Genomic DNA, 22,426 nt, shown 5'->3' with positions numbered 1-22,426 from the left:
TGCCATAAATAACTTGGCTTAATTCTTCTGTATGACAAGGTGTAGTTTAAGCAGAAAGAAAAACTTTTGATATTGAATGATTGATAGAAAAAGCAATAAAACATATTTCTGTACAAAATGCAACCCAAGTAAAGTTTAGTAGACATTTTAATGGATACATCTTTTTTCTTTGCTTGTTTTTTTTGGAGAAGAGTGGAAAGAAACATTACAAAACAAAGCTTTAATGCAAGTTTTAGGGTAGAGGAAAATGTTTCTTCTTAAACTAATTTTAAAATAAGCCTATTTTTGGATTTTAGAACTTTGTTAACCTTTTTTGATTGAAGTCTTTAAAAGCCATGATTTCTGAACATAGAGGCATATTCTGGATAACGTTTAAAGCATTAATAGCTATAAACTACTTGTAGAGCTTATGGCTATAAACTACTGAAACAATTTGTAAGTCCCACAGGAAAATGAATGTTATTACACATGTCTCCAGTGAAGAAAATCTCTTATGATTGATAAACGCTTCTGTACAATCAGAACATAATTTATTGTCAAAATGAACACAGCCCACAACTTATGATGGTTCACTTACAATTTTTCAACTTTATAATGATGTAAAAGTAATACACGTTCAGTAGAAAGTATACTTTGGGCACCCATGCAACCATCTGTTTTTCATTTCCTGTACAGTATTCAATACTAGCACAAATCGTCTAGCATAAAGCTTGTTTTGTAAGAAAGTGTTGACTCTCTAGCTGATTAGACTCATGCTTATAATTCCAGCACTTTCGGAGACCGAGGCAAGCAAATCACTTGAGGTCAGGAGTTTGAGACAAGCCTAGACAACGTGGTGAAACCCTGACTCTACTAAAAATACAAAAATTAGCTGGGTGTGATGGCTCGCACTTATAGTCCCAGCTATTCAGGAGGCTGAGGCAGGAGAATCACTGGAACCCAGGAGATGGAGGTTGCAGTGAGCCGAGATCATGCCACTGCATTCCAGCCTGGGCAACAGACAGACTGCATTTCCAAAAAAAAAAGTTGTTTGTTATTAGTAGTGGGGAGGACTATCTCATGTCAACAATTTCTTATAAAATAAATAGGCTTTGTGCTAGATGATTTTCCACAACTATAGGCCAAGGTAACTGTCCTAAGCATATTTATGGTAAGCTAGGTGAATTTAAGACATTTGGAAAGTTAGTTAGGTATATTACATTAATTTTCTGCTTAAGGTATTTCCCACTCTTAATGGGTTTATTGGGACGTAACCTCATTTGTTAAGTTGAGCAGCCTGTGTAGGCATCTTGACCACTTCTTAGTCCAGGCTTTCATCATCCCCAGCAGATGTGTTTCAAAGCTCAGTTTAGAAGCATTACGTGCAATATTCCACCTCTTTTTAAAAACTTTTTTTAAAACTCCAGATTTCTTTTGCCCCTTGAAAAACGAGAAGTTCGGGTCACATTGGGTGTGGTTTGTTAAGGTGGATACCTCCTGGGTGCTGTGTGCAGAACCCCACAGTTTCCTGGCCCCGCTGCCATTCACAGCTTTGTTCTTCACGGACAGGACCTGGATGCCCTGTTAGCATGGGCGGCCCTCACCCCTCAAAAAGATTTTTAAGTTTTCCCAGGATCCTGTTCCAGTGGTACTGATCATAGGGATAGATGCTGAACTCAAAAGTTTTTTACACCCCGATTTTGTGTGCCTAATGGTTATTTCCAATTGTATGTTCCAATGACATTGGATAAGCAGCATACCTAATGTAAATTCAAGATAGCGCAAGATTTTGGAAGATTGTTTGTTATTAATAGGGAGGTGGACTCCAAGTGTGGCCAGGGAGAATCATCACCTCCAACAAGTCATTCTGCCTCTAGTTTGCTGGTGGTCATCCCCAATGCTGGGCAGGACTGCCTTCTAAAGACTTGTTCAGATGCTGTCACTTCCAAACCCGCAAACCCAGTAACACTACAACAATAACAACAGTAAAGACTTCTGCTTCTTTTTTCCTCTCTGCGAAAACAGAAATGAGCACTGAATAATCTGTAATAATGATGGATTTTGTCATACATGATATTGAATGTCTTCCTTTCTGCCCTGTCTTCTTGGCATTATGCAGTGAGATGAAGGTCATCAAATATTTGAATGACCCTGAAACCGGAGGTGATTGATTGAAACCATCCCCCTAATTTCTACCTCCCCTTTGTGGACATTTAGCATATCCCTTTGTTTTGCACCAAGATGGATACACTCTTCTGTTCTTGAATTCCAGGCATCTGAATTAAAATTATTGGTGTCTCTTAAATAGATCAGGGTTATCGTAAAAATAATAATGTCATGGTTGGTAAAGACTGACTCTTTGTGGAAGGAAACTTTATGGAAGGAAATTTTCTTAGTCACTGAGTGCAAAGGATCAAGCATGTCCTCTTTCTCCTATACAAAGCTGCAAATCTCAATCCTGATTAGTCAGACATCAGCAGGGTAAAATTATATTGTGAAGTTAAGAATACATTTTCCTCAATGGAAGGGCATCTCAGACTTCACATTGACAGGAGGATGTAGCAGAAGTCACAAATTCATTTCAAAATTTAATTTCTTTTTGAGAAAAGAAAGCATTCAAAGTTTGGTGGAAATAGAAGGAAAGAGACCATGTGGTCCCTCAAGTTTCCAGCTCTCCCTTTTACAATTGTCAAAATTTGCATCATGATATGAATAGAAATATGTTACTGTAAGACTGTCTTTCACAGATGGCCTTAAAATATTGCCTCACATAAAAGGAATATACAGCTCTCAGTACTGCAGAAGCTAAATCTTCATTTCTGTCATCTATTTCTTTGAGTTTAAGAGCTTATTTTGATGAGGTCATTATAATGATTCATTTCTGGAGTTTCTGTTGTTGTGTGGATTTCCTCAAGAGCCTCATAACCATGCACCATCAGGAGTGTGGTCGGCAGTAATTCAGGAGCGCCAGTTTTTTTTTCTTTTCCCATGAAGTTGACATCTTGGAGTTTGGAAGAAGTTGTCGGGAAGGTGGGCGGGTCTTGACAATGGGCTGGAATAAGTGCTGGCTGTCAGGATTCTGCAAAGCACCCTGGCAGTGCCGATAGGTGGCCCCTCTTCCTTGGAGGTCTAGGTTGTGACAGAGGGGCAAAGAGGCAGCAGAGTATCCCGTTCCTAGAGGTCCTAGAGGGCATTGGGGCTCACCAGAGAATCCAGGGTGCAGACTGGAGGCTTGGACTGACAGATGAAGTTGTGGAACTCCGGAAAACAAGAGCTTGAGGGGCCGGGCGCAGTGGCTCACGCCTGTAATCCCAGCACTTTGGGAGGCTGAGGGGGTGGATTGCCTGAAGTCAGGTATTCGAGACCAGCCTGGCCAACATAGTGAAACCCCGTCTCTACTAAAAATACAAAAAATTAGCTGGACATGGTGGCAGGCACCTGTAATCCCAGCTACCTGGGAGGCTGAGGCAGGAGAATCACTTGAACCTGGGAGGTGGAGGTTGCAGTGAGGCAAGATCACGCCATTGCACTCCAGCCTGGGCAACAAAAGCAAAAAAAAAAAAAAAAAAAAACTTGTAAGTAGGGAGGAACAAATAAGATGACCGAACTTCAAGAAATCACAAATGGGTAACAAATAGCCCCAGTACAGACCCATCTTTCTTTTCCCCTTTGTAAATTCACAATCTCCTTTTTTCTCCCTACCCTTCAAGGAGCATTTAGCAACCTTGTTTGTTTCATCTCTGTTTTAAGGCAGATGTCCACCCTTGAGTTCTGTTCATTCCTTGCCTTTCTCTCTTGCAGGTTTTGATCTGGTAAAATGTGAGGATCCGGGCATCCCTAACTACGGCTATAGGATCCGTGATGAAGGCCACTTTACCGACACTGTAGTTCTGTACAGTTGCAACCCGGGGTACGCCATGCATGGCAGCAACACCCTGACCTGTTTGAGTGGAGACAGGAGAGTGTGGGACAAACCACTACCTTCGTGCATAGGTGAGTGTGGAAGCAGTCATACCATTGTGCAAAAGCCAGGCCTTAGGGTGCTTGCACCATGTTGCATTGACTTCCTTTATTGGAAAAGAGGAGGAATTTTATCACACTTTCCAGTGTGAGTTTTATGTATTCTGAGATTTGCACGTGTCTGTGAGTGTGTGTTTTCAGCTATGAAAGACAGTTTTTCTAGTATTCTGTTATGGAGACTATAGGTACAGTGTTATTATTAGAATTATCACATATTATTAGAATTATCACATGAGTGTCTTATTGCTTTATGCTCTCAACTTTAATTGCATGGAGGATAAAGACTTTCCACAGAGGTAATGATTTGGAAGAAATATTGAAACGGTCAGGAGAGAGAGATGATGGTGATTCTTTTTCTCTATGTATATAATGCAGACATAATGGCTTTGGTTTTGAAAAGTAGCTAAATAGAAACATGTGATGCCTGAAGCTGAACGTTCCCATCTCTCTGTGTCTTCTACAGCGGAATGTGGTGGTCAGATCCATGCAGCCACATCAGGACGAATATTGTCCCCTGGCTATCCAGCTCCGTATGACAACAACCTCCACTGCACCTGGATTATAGAGGCAGACCCAGGAAAGACCATTAGGTACTTGTTTTATTTTGGTTTCAGTGATTTGAGAAAAGAGATATGCCTTCTATTCTTGTAGCAGAGATAGTGGTACACCAAATATCCATGGTTAAAGTTTCTGAACTAAAGAAGAAAAGGTAAAGCTGTAGCTAAAAGTTTTGTTGGCTCACTTGCTTACTTTGCTGTTGCCTTGAAACCATTAATTAAGTTCTATATAGTAAAGCCAAAATGAGAGTGTATCAGTTAGCTTCTGCTGCATAACAAACTATCCCCCAAATTTAGTAGCTGAAAAAAAACATCATGACTTCGTGGGTTGCCTGGGCTGTTCTGATCTGCGTGAGACTGCCTGGGGATGAGCAGTCCAGGATGACCTTCCTTAGGTGTGAGGGCCTCAGCTGGGATGGTTGGGAAAGCAGGAGCCCCTGCACACCAGGCTTCTGTTCCTGCAGCAGGCTAGTCACGGTGGGAGGGTTGTAGCAGCAAGGGATGAACAAATTTCCAACTTGTGCTTACATTACACTTGCTAAGGTGCCCTTTGTCAAAGCAAGTCTCATGGGCTAGGCAAGACTCAAGATATGAAGAAATACACTCTACTGTTCTTTTAATAGGAAGAGAAGCAAAGTCATATTTTAAAAAGACTTGTGTGCAGGGATGGGAGCAATGTGTGTCATTTTGCAATTATACCAAAGTAACTTTGAGGTAGACCAAGAAAGTACTCTAAAGTAACACATATAAAAGAAAATCATTGCAAATTTCAGAAAATGATGTGAACATTTAAACAAAAAGTGTTCTATTCCAATAGTGAGTTCTGAGTTATGATGATGAGTTATTTAAACCAACAAAAAGTAATATTTTTAAAGTAAGCTCTGTAATATTTTTAAAGTAAGCTCTTGGTGATCTACTCAGAAATCTGTCTCCAAAACCATAGCACATAAGGCAAAAGGTAATTTTAAAATCAGTTTTATTTTTAGTTCTTGTTTAAAATGAAGTGGACACACAGTCCTAACCAATCCTTTTTAAAATGTATTTTTCCTTCAATTAACCTTTCTGTTTCATTGTTGTTATTAATTTTCTGTACAAAATTTGCTTTTGAGAAACTCTGACCTCCAATAGCCTTAATCTGCATGTCCCAGGCGTCTACACTCCATCATGCTATTATACCCACAAAAGACTAAATGAATCAGCCCAGCTGCTTCAGCTCCTCCTACACATACGTGAAGCTGAAAAAAAGTTACAGGTCAAAGTCAGGCTGGGCACAGTGGCTCATGCCTAACACTTTGGGAGGCCGAGGTGGGTGGATCACTTAAGATCAGTAGTTCGAGATCAGCCTGGCCAGCATGGCAAAACTCCATCACCACTAAAAATACAAAAAGCATCTGGGCATGGTGGCACACACCTGTAATCCCAGCTACTCAGGATACTGAGGCAGAAGATGTGGAAGGATGAAAAATATTTATAAACAAATGATTTTTGTCCTTATTCAGAAAAGCCACCCTATCAAGCTTAGTAATGTGTATTACACATAGATATCATACACTTACTTCACTGCAACCCTATAACTTAACAAAAATAAAATGGGATGAAGTGGAGTGAGGAAAATGCATATTATACACCCTACATGAGAAAGGTTCTCCCTACATAAAAGGAGCAAGAACAACAATTAAAGCATATCTAGAATGCAAACATCTTAGGATGGTGTTTCTGCTGCTACAATAGAATATTACAGACTGTGGGGCCGGGTGCAGTGGCTCATGCCTGTAATCCCAGCACCTTGGGAGGCCAAGGCAGGCAAATCACCAGGTGAGGAGATCAAGATCATCCTGGCTAACATGGTGAAACCCCTTCTCTACTAAAAATACAAAAAAATTAGCCACACGTGGTGGCAGGCACCTGTAGTCCCAGCTACTCGGGAGGCTGAGGCAGGAGAATGGTGTGAACCCAGGAGGTGGAGCCTGCAGTGAGCTGAGATCGTGCCACTGTACTCCAACCTGGGCAACAGTGAGACTGTGTCTCAAGAAAAAGAATATTACAGACTTAGTAAGTTAAGAAGTTTAGTTTCTTAACAGTTCTGGAGGATGGGAAGTCCAAGGGCATGGCATTGGCAGATGATGAGTCCACATGGTGAGAGCATCACATAGCAAGGAAGTACACTAGAGACAGAGAGGAAATGGGGCCAAGCTTAACCTTTTATCAGGGGCTCCCTCCCACTATAGCTAACCCACTCCCATGATAACAGCATTAATCCCTTCATGAGGGCCCAGCCCTTATGACCTAATCACCTCATAAGGGCTCCCACTTTCAATATGGCTACAATGGCAATTAAATTTCAACATGAGTTTTGGTGGAGACAGTAAAACCATAGCACATACTATTTTATAATAACTCATTTTAAAATTAATCAAGATAAATGATTAATTTGATGATTATTGATCTGTTGGGACAACACTAAGTTATAGCTGAGTAACAGAATTTAATATTTCATATTCCTCATGAAAATCTATGAAGGCATGTTTCTATGGAAATAAATAGGCCAGGCATAGCGGCTCACACCTGTCATCCCAGCACTTTCTTTGAGGGGATGAAGCAAGAGGATGTCTTGAGCCCAGTTGGTCAAGGCTGAAGTAAGCTATGATCACACCACTGCAGTCTTAAGTAAATAAATTAATTAAATTAAATATTAGTCCTTAACTTTGAATTCACAAATGCTAGATTTGAGTAATGTAAAAACCACTTCCAATGGCTTTGATTTTGAAAAGTTGTAGAAATCATCTATGCTAATGGAATGACTTTATATAAAAATAATTTATCTTCTTTTAGAAGAATTTCACATTTTTGTTTTTCTTAAAATTTCCTTTGTGGCTTAATTTACTGGAATTAATTAGAGTGAGCATTGTCTTTCTCTAAATGCAAACCAAGTCATGGATTCACTCTTTACAGGTGAATCTAATACTTTGTTAACATTTTAATAAAAAAAATTAAAAAGAGAAAAATAAAAAAATATTTGAATAAAAACGTGCAGTTTTTATTGCATGAACTGACCTTGAAAAATTTTCTTCGTATACGTATATTTCAATATGAGGTACACACTATCAAATTTATAAATACATCTATTAAATTTAAAGCATAAACTTCTTCCCAATAAGCAGCTTAAGAGGGTAGCCATCCATGTTTATCCTTAATTTCCTCAATTGACAATCAACTTAATCCCAAAATGTTTTTGATGATTGAACCACTCTTCATGAATAACATAAATGCAATTTTTAGTATGGTGATCTGGCAAAACCATAATTAGAAGTACATAATATACTAAAATTGTATATCATGTACTTAAAATTGTACTAATACTCAGAAAAAATGGTGTCTGGTCTTAGCCTTGATATTAGCTTGCATGGTTACTAAGTCTTATTTATTTCAATGGTAACATAGTCTGTATTACCTACAATGTTAACTTGAAAATGAGAAATACATCAGTCATATAAATATGAACACAGGGATTAATTTAGCTCTTTAAAATATCTTAATATAAATGTAATCATTACTATGCATTTATACTATGATATCTTAATGTAAATATTTTTCACTCTCAAGGAATGAATAAACAGCCGGATCTTGGAAAATATGAAAAGGCTGGTTTCAATATTTTACTTTAGGCCAATTATTGCAGAGCTACATTGATTTCATTGAGGCCCAGAGCAACTTCTGCTTATATAGTGCTATTCCTCTTTGTTTGAGGTAATCGAATACCCCAAAATAGTTATTATAATGGGGCGCAATACCCCAAAATAGTTATTATTATGGGGCACTTGGGTCTGGAAGAATTTCTAATTTTAACATGTATGCTATAGAGCAGTTACCTGAGCCAAATTTAATTAAAAGTCTAATCACAAGACATTGTAGAAAATTTAGCCCCATTGAAAGTTATTTGGTAATATTTCTCTAAGAGATCCAGCATATTTCATTGCTGGGCACAGCCATGCTTTGCTTTATGTAACAAAAGTAACAGCATTATAAACTTCTTCAGCTAGCAACATTAAAGGCTATGTTTTACATAACCATATGTGTACACTGTTCCTAAGCTTTAATTGCTTTTCTGCCAGTGTAATTGTCTGGAAAGCTCACTTTGAATGTACTTCTGTTCCTAATTGTTAGCAGAAAATTGCATTTGGTAGTATAGTTGAAGGGAATTATTTTTAATAAGCTCGCACAGTATGAAAAACATTGGACGCATATCAAAAAGGTATCAAGGTTGTCAAAAGCATTCCTATGCAGACTTTTAGAAAAGGTAACATGTGGTTTGACGACCCTGGTGTTCTGCTGGCTGTCCTGACCTGGATTTTCTTTCTAGTGGCATCAGCTTTTAGAGAGATTAGAGTGAAATTGCACTGGAGATCTAGGAATATTAATCCATTTCTGATCAACCTTCCAGATCCCAGTAGGAAATACACTTAAGAGAAAACTATACATTTATCCCCAGTCTCCATGTCCAGCCTCTGTACATAGACCATGGGTTGGAGAATTTTCCTGACAGGACAGAAAGGTATGAGGCCACTCAGGAATAAAAGCATGTCCAATTTCTCCATTCCTATCAACATCACTATAGACCCTTCCCTTAGTTTTCATAGACAATACAAAGAAATAACAATTTAAGTAATTTCAGCCATGAAGTAAAAGAGTTATAGAAGTCTACAGTTTTTCCCTATGCCTATGGCTGCTACTCCAGACCCCCTTTAACCTGGGGCTCTGGGAGCAGTTGCTGGTCATGGGTGACCTTACCAGACATGTAGGAGAGCCTGAGTCAGAGGAAAGAAACCTGCAACCCCACTCACTTTGCAAAGTTCTGACTCATATTTTCAGTTGCCACAGATTAGTTAAATAACACCAGCTCCCAACCATACCACTCACATTTCAGCTGCCATGGTACATAAACTGTGAGAAAGTGCATGAAGGACAAATTCTGAGCTCTTCAGTTCCTACATCACTATATGGATAACGAGGCACATCATCATCACTGGTGACAGATCACATCTCCTCTTTCAACATCTGCTGGTGACTGCTCACAGGGTGCCTGCTATTCAGTGCATTCTCAGACAGCAAAGAGGGTAGTTGTGTTGTCTTCTTTGCTCCCAGTGATCAGTGCACTTGATGTCTTAAAAAACGGGAATTGCAAAGAAGGAATTGCCCAGAAAAGATAGACATGCAGGGAAGAAATGAGAAGTGATATCATGGGAAGTGAAACTCAAATCACACATAAATGGAATTACAGGAGAAATAGCTGAGGTGGGAACATTGCCACTGCTGTGCGGAGAGACCTTAGATAGGCAGCCAGGGAAACTCAGCCAAGAAGGACGTAGGAGTGTAAGGGAGGAGATGCTGTGATGAGAACGATGGAGATATTCCAGAAGAAGTGACTCCAGAAAAAAACATTAAAGAAACTTCTAGAGTTATTTCAGGATCTGAAAAGCACAAGAGATAAAATGGTGGAAGCTGATCCAAACTTCCCTGACATCTCTCCTCAGAGCTCATCACGTGTTCCCAACTCCTCACATTTCATCATTATTTCATCATTATTGTCATCATTCCCTATTTGTGTTACTGTCTCCCTCCAAGGGGCGGGAGACTTTAGTCTTCAGTGTTATGCTCTGCTGTTGCTTATTTCTCCTCCCTCAATATCCAATAATTTCCCACCTAAAACAATGAAAATAGGACTGTACAGCTCATGGAATTCTTTTGATAAATTATATGAGATTTCTTTAGACGAGACACTGAAAAAAAAGTGCATAGAATCTGAAAACAAAGCCCTGTCATTTCTCCATCTCTTTATGTTTCCTTTCTTCTTATCCACCATTATGAATTCCCATGACTTTCCTGTTACTTTAGTCTTCTCTCAACTGACCTTCCCAAATCCATCCTTTATTCTCTCCAATCTCTCAAATACCCTCACTGTACGTTGACAAGCACCAGCTCCTTACCCAGAACCATAATACCCTCTAGAATTTGGCTTAGTGCGGCTTTCCAGGTGTATCTTTGGCTGCTCATGGATACTTTCGACTTCAGGACAAAGAAAGCTTGACTGATCTCTGATCATAGCCTGTGCTACTGTGGTGCTCTCTTTACACACACTGTCTTGAGTTTCTCCTCATTGACTCACCTCCAGTTTCTTCCCATCTCTTAGGGCTCAGCAAAAATTCATTTTTATTATCCCATCCAGAAATATTCTGTGTTGTTCCCTGATCTCATCATTTCTCTTCATCAGTTACCTTCCTTCTGTACTAATAATCTCTGTTAATATCATATCCACATGTCAAGACCTCCAGGGCAAGTTTCACTAGCTCCCACACTTCTGTGAGCTTCATTTCTCATTTAGACCCCATCTGAAGCCTCCCAAACTCTCCTCCCTGCCCACCACCTGGTTCCTTCGCTGGGTAGACCCTCCTAACTCACCAGGTTTCCACTGACCACCCTGCAAACGCTGCCTTGCACCCACTGCTCCTACCCCAAACAATATGGTTTGTTTTATTTTAAAAATTTATGTTTATGTCTATAAAACTAATGTCTATATAGATTTTGAAAAAATTAAAAAAAAACAATTGAAGAAATCATGTATTATTCCCCTATAGACATCAATGGCAAATGTCTTATACGTATCAATGTATATTGTGTGGTGTGGACATGTACCATTAAACATTGTCTCTCTTGTTGCTTGTTTATACCATTTCTAATTTTTCTTTCTCTTTTTTTTTTTTTTTTTTTTTTTGAGACAGAGTCTCACTCTGTTGTCCAGGCTGGAGTGCGGTGGCGCAATCCTGGCTCACTGCAACCTCAGCCTCCTGGGTTCAAGCAATTCTCCTGCCTCAGTGTCCTGAGTAGCTGGGATTACATGCATGTGCCACCACACCCAGCTAATTTTTTTTGTATTTTTAGTAGACACGGGGTTTCGCCCTGTTGCCAGGCTAGTCTCAAACTCCTGACCTCCAATGATCTGCCCGCCTCGTCCTCCCAAAGCACTGGGATTAGAAGCGTGAGCCACCAGGCCTGGCCATTTCTAATTTTTCATGTTGTACATAATGATGTGACAAGTAGTCTTGTAAGTAAATCTTTGCTTATATTTATATAATTCCTTAGAATAAATGCCTAGGAAATTTGTTTGCTGGGTCAAAGGGTGTGAGCATCCTCATATGTCTTAGTACAAGTCTTTCTATAAAGCAGAGTCAGTCATTTCACTCGCCTGAGCTTGCTATAAAAACAAAAACTATTTTGTCCACTCATTATGTGCAGGATAAGCTCTTTGGCATGGTTTATGGTTAATTATTTTTCTTAATTTTAAAATAATAAAGTGCTGCAGAAAAAAAAACCCCTAAATGTAGTTTTCTGTAATCTTAAACACCAAAGAAAACTACACTTGAAAAGGTGATATAGCTTTTTAAAATTTTTTCTATGCAAATACAAACATAAAATGTGATATGTTCATTTATCTTTTTATTTAATTATTTTTTACGCCATGTTATTCTGAACATTTATTTTGAGTTAATAAACATGGCCAAATGTTTACATCCAAATTTGTAATTTTGCCTCATCCTATTTAGTTACCGGATAGTATTCCATTGCCTGAATGTGCCTTAATTTATTTAAACTACACCCTTTTGGAATATTCAGGTTGTTTTTAATTTTTTCACTGTTGTAAGTAATGCTACCATCCTCCCCGTGTGTCACCTCCAGGGCACTTTTCATGATGAATTTCTAGAGCTGCATTTGCTATGTTTGCACATTTCAATTTTTATAGCCATTACCAAATTGCCTCTAAAAGGAGTAGATATACCACCAGCAGTACATAGAAATTGGGCGTCTCTACATTCTCTCTGAAACTGGACAAAGGCTTTTCAGTCCTTAACAATCTGTCCAGAAAAAAAATATTCCAAACATTTTATTGGTTATATCTGTTTATACCTTTCCTATGTTGACTTTTTTGACATGTGAATACATTTGGTTAGTGACTTCCTCTTCTCTGTGCACTTCACCTCCCACCTGCATTTCCGGTTCTCTCCTTTCCCTGGATTCCTTTCCTGCTTTCTCTTGGCTGGACAAGAGCCTTCCCACACTTTGTGAGGCAGAATTACACCTATGTCCGCTGTATGGTGGCGTGCTTTTATCTGCCAGACCTTGGGACACTGTGCGTTGGAGGATGTGTGCTTTTCCTCACGTGCCTGTATCTGATATCACAGAGTTCCTTAGCGATGATACCACATTGCATTCCTTTTTTTTTGAGACAAAGTGTTGCTCTTGTCCCCCAGGCTGGAGTGCAATAGCGTGATCTTGGCTCACTGCAACCTCCACCTCCAGAGTTCAAGCAATGCTCCTGCCTGAGCCTCCTGAGTAGCTGGGATTACAGGTGTCTGCCACCATGCCCAGCTGATTTTTATATTTTTAGTAGAGACAGGGTTTCCCCATATTGGCCAGGCTGGTCTCGAACTCCTGACCTCAGGCGATCCACCCACCTCGGCCTCCCAAAATACTGGGATTACAGGCGTGAGCCACCATACCTGGCTTCACTCCATTTTTTTTAACTTCCTTTACCTAGTGGAATTGTGTCTGGCATTTTGACTTTTAACAATTTTACATTTGAATAAAAAATGACTGACACTTACCTACATTTAAGTTTTGTTGTATCATATTTTTTGTTGGAGTCATGAGACATTTTCCAAGATGGCAAAACTCCATGGTACCAGGGTGCATGTTTGTTTTTCTGTGTAAGCTTCTCATTAGCATATAGCATAAAAACTGCCATGTGGCTTGTTCACAAAAGAAACACCCCCATGTAACCAGAACTCAGATAAAGAAAGGGAAAATTATCTGGACTCAGGATAGACCTTTGAGCTCTATTCAAATTGTCTCTTCTCCAGGACAATCACTATTAAGACTTCAGAAGAGTTTTGCCAAATTTGAATTTTATGTAAAAGATAATTGTCGGGCACGATGGCTTACGCCTGTAATCCTAGCACTTTGGGAGGCTGAGGCGGGCAGATTACCTGAGATCAGGAGTTCAAGACCAACCTGATCAACATGGTGAAACTCCGTCTCTATTAAAAATTAAAAAATAAGCAAGTTGTGTTGGCACACGCCTATAATCCCAGCTACTCGGGAGGCTGAGGCAGAAGAATTGCTTGAGCCTGGGAGGCAGAGGTTGCAGTGAGCCACGATCATTCCATTGCACTCCAGCCTGGTCAACAGATCAAGACTCTGTCTAAAAAAGAGAGAGAGAGATTGTACAGTTTTATTAATTATGTGTCTCACTTCATTTCCTCAATCTTCACACCCATTGATACCGTTAGATATTTCCTGATATAATTTATTTATCCATTCTGGGTGCTGATGGACATTTGGATGGTTCTGATGCAGTTTGGAGTTAATGCAAACTGTGCTGCTTTTAATATGCTTTGACATGTTACCTGGTGAATGTATGTATGCTTTTTCCATGGGTATACACTGAGGCCAGGAATTGCTGGGTAATGGTGAATCCTACCTTCCACAGTATTAGGTGCTATCAGTTTTCCAAAGTGGTTATTCTTACCCTCACTCCCTGAGAGGGTGTATATGAGAGAATTTCAGGAACTTCACTTTCTAACCAACAATGGGATTGATTGTTTTTTCATTTTAGCCATTCTACTGGGGGTGTGGTACCTTTTTATTTGCATTTCCCTGACGACTGATCAAGGTAAACACTTTTTTATATGTTTATTGGCCTTTTGAATATCCTCTTTTACTAATTGCCAGTTGAAGCCTTTTGCCCATTTTTTTATACTGAAATGATTTCTTTTGATAAACACAGGTTTTTAATTCCAATGAGTCATAATAATTTTTACTCATTTTTTTTCTTTACGGTTAGCAAATTTTTAAACTATATTTAAATGTATGCTATGCCACAAACTTTGTTAAGGTTGGCTTTAGTGATTTTGTGTCCAGATTGCTAGCTCCTCCCTCCCCAAAGCTATACAAATATTATCTTAGGTTTTCTTCTACAAAACTTAATTTACCTTTCACATTTACATCTCTATTCCACTGGGGATAAATTTTTGTGTACAGTATGGAGACTGAAGTGTCACAGATTTTTGTCCACAGTTAAGTTCAATTGACAATTTGCTGAAGTGATTTATTTCTTTATTGCACTATAGTACAAATTAGTAATTAACGAGACAACTAGATCTATGCAGATCTGTTTCCAAACTGTATTCCATTTCATTTATCTATTTGCTTATCTAGTACAAAACCTAACTTAATTCCTGATTTACTTTATAATACATCTTGATACCCAGTATCATAATCTAGCTTTGTTCTTCTTCATATAGATCACTGTGACTATTCTTGGCCTTCTGCACTTCCATATGAATTTCAGAAACACTCTTAATTTTTTACAAAAGAAATTGCCTGGATTTTTATTGATATCCCATGACATCAATAGATCATTCTGGGGAAAACTGACATCTTTTATAATACTGAACTTTCTGGTCCTTGATATTGTATACCTCTCCATTTATTTAGCTTTTGTATGATTTGTCTCAATGATGTTTTGCAGTTTTCTGGGTGAAAGTCCTGCACATTTTTTATTAGAATTATTTCCAGCTCTAGGATGCTTTCTGCTTAATGGCAAACATATGTGACCAGGTACTTCAGAATCCATAGTCCTCTTCTATTCTCCACCTAAGAACTTCGAAGATTTCATCCAGTCCTATAGTTTATAAACTATTTCTTTGTTGAAGACATACATGTTTATTTTCTCCACTCTGACTTCTCTCTGAAACTCCAACTTACGTGAACAGCTACCTACATACCCCTCCATCTATGTCTAGTTGACAACTTAAACTCAACAGGTCCAAGACAGAAACTCTGATTTTCCCCATCCCATAAACATACTGCACCGTTTCTCAGTTCACTGGATGACAACTCCACTTTTCCAGTTTCTGAGGGACAAACCTACAGGGCCAGCACATCCTCACCTCACGCACACCTCTTCCAAGCCTGTTTTCTCTCCCTTCAAAACGTATCCAGGACCTGACCAGTGCCTGGGTACCTCCATATTCAGCTCATCTCAGCACATACGCCACTTTCTTGGATTACTCAAAACGTTGACAGAGTGTCATTTTCCCTCCATGGCATGTTGTCAACAGAGCAAGCAAGCACGGCCAGTTCTTTAAATTGTTGGTGAGGACTCCTGCCTTGGTATATCATCCTTAAAATCCCGCATCGGTGTATCATCCTTAAAACAGCCTACAAAGCCCTCTGTGCGTAGGCACCTCTCTCCCACCATCCAATTCACAACCCCCATTCTTCTCTGCTCTCAGCTCTTCCTTCCCAGTCCCCCTTCCTCTGTTCTTGCTGCACTGGCTCCTGGCTGTCCTCAAATGCGGACGGTATGCCCCTTACGTGGGGCTTCTGCTTGGCTGAATTCTTACGTCTCACAGGATGCGACAAACACCCTTAACTCCTTCAAGGCTGCACCAAAATCTGCCTCTGCCAAGATGGCTTAGCCTAACCACCCCATTTAATACTTCAGGCTTCCCCTTCCTCCCCTAAGAATTAGTATCCCAGTGATTCTTTTCCTGTCTACTTTTTTATTTCTTCAATTGCATTTACCACCTACTAACATTCCATATTCTTCACTCATTTGTTATGGGTGCTGTGGACTGCCTGTCTCTTCCCTGTATTATTGTGGATGCTGTGGTTTGCCTATCTCTTCCCTGTACAACACGAACTCCACGAAGGCAGGACTCAACTTGGCAGATGTATGCAAAGTTCCTCGAGGTGCACTCAGTACACTCTTGGTGCCGAGTAAATGTTGAATTATTGAACTAAATCAAAAAGGGAACGTCTTATAGATGCAAAATGATGATCAACTTTATGAGTGATCAGGGAAAGTAATTTAAACAAGACACCATTCCACAACCATCAAATTTTCTATATATATGTAGAACTCTTAGTCTGACGGTAATCAGGTATTCCTAAAGATATAATAAAACAAGGGCAATACATACATTACCCTGGACCAAAGCAGTTAGAATCCCAAGGGAGAGCGAGTTAGCAAATCTGCTTTATCATGCTGGCCTAGAAAGATCCTTGCATCAGTACAGTGGAATATACAGTGCGGTACCACGTGTCAAAATTAAAATGTAGAAACAAACTGACCTTTAGTAAGGAACTACGAAAATAAAACACTTACAGTTTTAAAGTAAATTAACAAAGTTCTACCTTTTTTTCAGTATAACGGTCTCTCCCATAATAGTACAAAAGCAAATTGAGGCTGGGCTCAGTGGCTCACACCTCTAATCCCAGCACTTTGGGAGGCCGAGGCGGGTGGATCACAAGGTCAGGAGATCGAGACCTTCCTGGCTAACACAGTGAAACCCCGTGTCTACTAAAAAATACAAAAAAATTAGCCATGTGTGGTGGTGGGCACCTGTAGTCCCAGCTACTCGGGAGGCTGAGGCAGGAGAATGGCATGAACCCGGGTGGCAGAGCTTCCAGTGAGCCAAGATCACACCACTGCACTCCAACCTGGGCAACAAAGCAAGACTCCATCTCAAATAAAATAAAATAAATAAATAAAATAAAAGCAAATTGAAAGTGATACAAGCACACACATGTCAAGTAATATTTAATATGTAACTACTCTTAAACACACAGAGTAGTACAATATATTGTTTAGGAATACAAATACACACACATATGAAGCTTCTAAAAATATAAATGGGATGGGTGGAGCCAAGATGGCCAAATAGGAACAGCTCCAGTCTACAGCTCCCAGCATGAATGACGCAGAAGACGGGCGATTTCTCCATTTCCAACTAAGGTACCGGGTACATCTCACTGGGGAGTGTCGGAAAGTGGGTGCAGGACAATGGGTGCAGCCCACCAAGCGGGAGCCAAAGCAGGGGGAGGCATCAACTCACCCAGGAAGTGCAAGGGGTCAGGGAATTCCCTATCCTAGTCAAAGAAAGGGGTGACAGATGGCACCTGGAAAATCGGGTCACTCCCACCCTAATACTGGGCTTGCTTTTCCAATGGTCTTAGCAAACGGCACACCAGGAGATTATATCCCGTGCATGACTCAGAGGGTCCTACCCCCACGGAGCCTCACTCATTGCTAGCACAGCAGTCAGATCAAACTGCAAGGCTGCAGCGAGGCTGGGGGAGGGGCGCCCGCCATTGCCAAGGCTTGAATGACTAAAAAAACGGCCCAGAAGCTTGAACTGGGTGGAGCCCACCACAGCTCAAGGAAGCCTGCCTGCCTCTGTAGACTCCACCTCTGCAGGCAGGGCACAGACCAACAGAAGGCAGCAGAAACCTCTGCAGACTTAAATGTCCCTGTCTGACAGCTTTGAAGAGCGTAGTGGATCTCCCAGCACACAGCTTGAGATCTCAGAACAGACAGACTGCCTCCTCAAGGGGGTCCCTGACCCCTGAGTAGCCTAACTGGGAGGCACCCCCCAGTAGGGGCCAACAGACACCTCACACGGCCTGGTACTCTGAGACAAAACTTCCAGAGGAATGATCAGACAGCAGCATTTGCTGTTCACCAACATCTGCTGTTCTGCAGTCTCTGCTGCTGATACCCAGGCAAACAGGGTCCGGAGTGCACCTCCAGCAAACTCCAACAGATGTGCAGCTGAGGGTCCTGACTGTTAGAAGGAAAACTAACAAACAGAAAGGACATCCACACCAAAACCCCATCTGTACGTCATCATCATCAAAGACCAAAGGTAGATAAAACCACAAAGATGGGGAAAAAACAGAGCAGAAAAACTGCAAACTAAAAATCAGAACACCTCTCCTCCTCCAAAGGAACACAGCTCCTCACCAGCAATGGAACAAAGCTGGATGGAGAATGACTTTGACAAGTTGAGAGAAGAAGGCTTCAGATGATCAAACTACTCTGAGCTACAGGAGGAAGTTTGAACCCATGGCAAAGAAGTTAAAAACCTTGTAAAAAAAATTAAACGAATGGCTAACTAGAATAACCAATGCACAGAAGTCCTTAAAGGACCTGATGTAGCTGAAAACCAAGGCACGAGGACTACGTGACAAATGCACAAGCCTCAGTAGCCAATACAATCAACAGGAAGACAAGGTATCAGTGATGGAAGATGAAATGAATGAAATGAAGCAAGAAGAGAAGTTTAGAGAAAAAAAGAATAAAAAGAAACAAACAAAGCCTCCAAGAAATATGGGACTATGTGAAAAGACCGAATCTACGTCTGATTGGTGTACCTAAAAGTGACAGGGAGAATGGAACCAAGTTGGAAAACACTCTGCAGGATATTAACCAGGAGAAATTCCCCAATCTAGCAAGGCAGGCCAACATTCAAATTCAGGAAATCCAGAGAACGCCACAAAGATACTCCTCGAGAAGAGCAACTCAAAGACACATAATTGTCAGATTCACCAAAGTTGAAATGAAGGAAAAAATGTTAAAGGCAGCCAGAGAGAAAGGTCCGGTTACCCACAAAAGGAAGCCCATCAGACCAACAGCGGATCTCTCGGCAAAAACTCTACAAGCCAGAAGAGAGTGGGGGCAATATTCAACATTCTTAAAAGAAAGAATTTTCAACCCAGAATTTCATATCCAGCCAAACTAAGCTTCATAAGTGAAGGAGAAATAAAATACTTTACACACAAGCAAATGCTGAGAGATTTTGTCACCACCAGGCCTGCCCTAAAAGACCTCCTGAAGGAAGCACTAAACATGGAAAGGAACAACCGGTACCAGCCACTGCAAAATCATGCCAAAATGTAAAGACCATCGAGACTAGGAAGAAACTGCATCAACTAACGAGCAAAATAACCAGCTAACATCATAATGACAGGATCAAATTCACACATAACAATATTAACCTTAAATGTAAATGGGCTAAATGCTCCAATTAAAAGACAGAGACTGGCAAATTGCATAAAAAGTCAAGACCCATCAGTGTGCTCTATTCAGGAAACCCATCTAACTTGCAGAGACACACATAGGCTCAAAATAAAAGGATGGAGGAAGATCTACCAAGCAAATGGAAAACAAAAAAGGCAGGGGTTGCCATCCTAGTCTCTGATAAAACAGACTTTAAACCAACAAAGATCAAAAGAGACAAAGAAGGCCATTACATAATGGTAAAGGGATCAATTCAACAAGAAAAGCTAGCTCTCCTAAATATATATGTACCCAATACAGGAGCACGCAGATTCTTGAAGCAAGTCCTTAGACACCTACAAAGAGACTCAGACACCCACACAATAATAATGGGAGACTTTAACACCCCACTGTCAACATTAGACAGATCAACGAGACAGAAAGTTAACAAGGATACCCAGGAATTGAACTCAGCTCTGCACCAAGCGGACCTAATAGACATCTACAGAACTCTCCACCCCAAATCAACAAAATATACATTCTTTTCAGCACCACACCACACCTACTCCAAAACTGACCACATAGTTGGAAGTAAAGCACTCCTCAGCAAATGTAAAGGAACAGAAATTACAACAAACTGTCTCTCAGACCACAGTGCAATCAAACTAGAACTCAAGATAAAGAAACTCATTCAACACTGCTCAACTATATGGAAACTGAACAACCTGCTCCTGAATGACTACTGAGTAAATAATGAAATGAAGGCAGAAATAAAGATGTTCTTTGAAACCAACGAGAACAAAGACACAACATACCAGAATCTCTGGGACACATTCAAAGCAGTGTGTAGAGGAAAATTTATAGCACTAAATGCCCACAAGAGAAAGCAGGAAAGATCTAAAATTGACACCCTAACATCACAATTAAAAGAACTAGAAAAGCAAGAACAAACACATTCAAAAGCTAGCAGAAGGCAAGAAATAACTAAGATCGGAGCAGAACTGAAGGAAATAGAGACGCAAAAAACCCTTAAAAAAGTCAATGAATCCAGGAGCTGACTTTTTGGACAGATCAACAAAACTGATAAACCACTAGCAAGACAAATAAAGAAGAAAAGAGAGAAGAATCAAATAGACATAATAAAAAATGATAAAGGTAATATCACCACCGATCCCACAGAAACACAAACTACCATCAGAGAATACTATAAACACCTCTATGCAAATAAACTAGAATATCTAGAAAAAATGGATAAATTCCTCGACACATACATCCTCCCAAGACTAAACCAGGAAGAAGTTGAATCTCTGAATAGACCAATAACAGGGTCTGAAATTGAGGCAATAATCAATAGCTTACCAACCAAAAAAAGTCGAGGACCAGATGGATTCACAGTCCAATTCTGCCAGAGGTACAAAAAGGAGCTGCTACCAATCCTTATTCAATTATTCCAATCAAAAGAAAAAGATGGGAATCCTCCCTAACTTATTTTATGGGGCCAGCATCACCCTGAAAGCAAAGCCTGACAGAGACACAACAAAAAAAGAGAATTTTAGACCAATATCCCTTATGAACATCGATGCAAAAATCCTCAATAAAATACTGGCAAATGGAATCCAGCAATACATCAAAAAGTTTATCCACAATGATCAAGTGGGTTTCATCCCTGGGATGCAAGGCTGCTTCAACATACGAAAATCAATAAATGTAATCTAGCATATAAACAGAACCAACGACAAAAACCACATGATTATCTCAAAAGATGCAGAAAAGGCCTTTGACAAAATTCAACAACCCTTCATGCTAAAAACTCTCAAAAAATTAGGTGTTGATGGGACGTATCTCAAAATAATAAGAGCTATCTATGACAAACCCACAGCCAATATCATACTGAATGGGAAAAACTGGAAGCATTCCCTTTGAAAACAGGCACAAGACCAGGATGCCCTCTCTCACCACTCCTATTCAATATAGTGTTGGAAGTTCCGGCCAGGGCAATTAGGCACGAGAAAGAAATAAAGAGTATTCAATTAGGAAAAGAGGAAGTCAAATTGTCCCTGTTGGCAGATGACATGATTGTATATCTAGAAAACCCCATTGTCTCAGCCCAAAATCTCCTTAAGCTGATAAGCAACTTCAGCAAAGTCTCAGGATACAAAATCAATGTGCAAAAATCACAACTATTCTCATACGCCAATAACAGACAAACAGAGAGCCAAATCATGAGTGAACTCCCATTCACAATTGCTTCAAAGAGAACAAAATACCTAGCAATCCAACTTACAAGGGATGTGAAGGACCTCTTCAAGGAGAACTACAAACCACTGCTCAAGGAAATAAAAGGATACAAACAAATGGAAGAACATTCCATGCTCATAGGTAGGAAGAATCAATATTGTGAAAATGGCCATACCGCCCAAGGTAACTTATAGATTCAATGCCATCCCCTTCAAGTTACCAATGACTTTCTTCACAGAATTAGAAAAAACTACTTTAAAGTTCATATGGAACCAAAAAAGAGCCCAAATCACCAAGTCAATCCTAAGCCAAAAGAACAAAGCTGGAGGCATCACGCTACCTGACTTCATACTACACTACAAGGCTACAGTAACCAAAACAGCATGGTACTGGTACCAAAACAGAGATAGAGACCAATGGAACAGAACAGAGCCCTCAGAAATAATGCTGCATATCTACAACTATCTGATCTTTGACAAACCTGACAAAAACAAGCAATGGGGAAAGCATTCCCTATTTAATAAATGGTGCTGGGAAAACTGGCTAGCCATATGTAGAAAGCTGAAACTGGATCCCTTCCTTACACCTTACACAAAAATTAATTCAAGATGGATTAAAGACTTAAATGTTAGACCTAATACTATAAAAACCCTAGAAGAAAACCTAAACAATACCATTCAGGACACAGGCATGGGTAAGGACTTCATGTCTAAAATGCCAAAAGCAATGGCAACAA

The 22,426-nt window shown here is 40.0% G+C and overlaps 1 protein-coding gene across 4 annotated transcripts in view; it reads left to right on the top strand.

Annotated features, from left to right (window-relative positions):
* The window catches only part of CSMD1 (CUB and Sushi multiple domains 1), a 2,059,554-nt gene that overhangs the window by 1,682,631 nt on the left and 354,497 nt on the right, over positions 1–22,426 (top strand). For all 4 annotated transcript variants that reach the window (XM_011534752.3, NM_033225.6, XM_011534753.4 and 1 more), the window contains 2 exons: positions 3,781–3,972; positions 4,463–4,589. In XM_011534752.3, the coding sequence (XP_011533054.1) occupies positions 3,781–3,972; positions 4,463–4,589 (319 nt within the window). The remainder of the gene's footprint in view (positions 1–3,780; positions 3,973–4,462; positions 4,590–22,426) is intronic.

Source organism: Homo sapiens, chromosome 8 (genome assembly GCF_000001405.40).
Source record: "Homo sapiens chromosome 8, GRCh38.p14 Primary Assembly".
NCBI classification, from domain to species: domain Eukaryota; kingdom Metazoa; phylum Chordata; class Mammalia; order Primates; family Hominidae; genus Homo; species Homo sapiens.
This window is presented reverse-complemented; position numbering and strand designations above follow the sequence as displayed.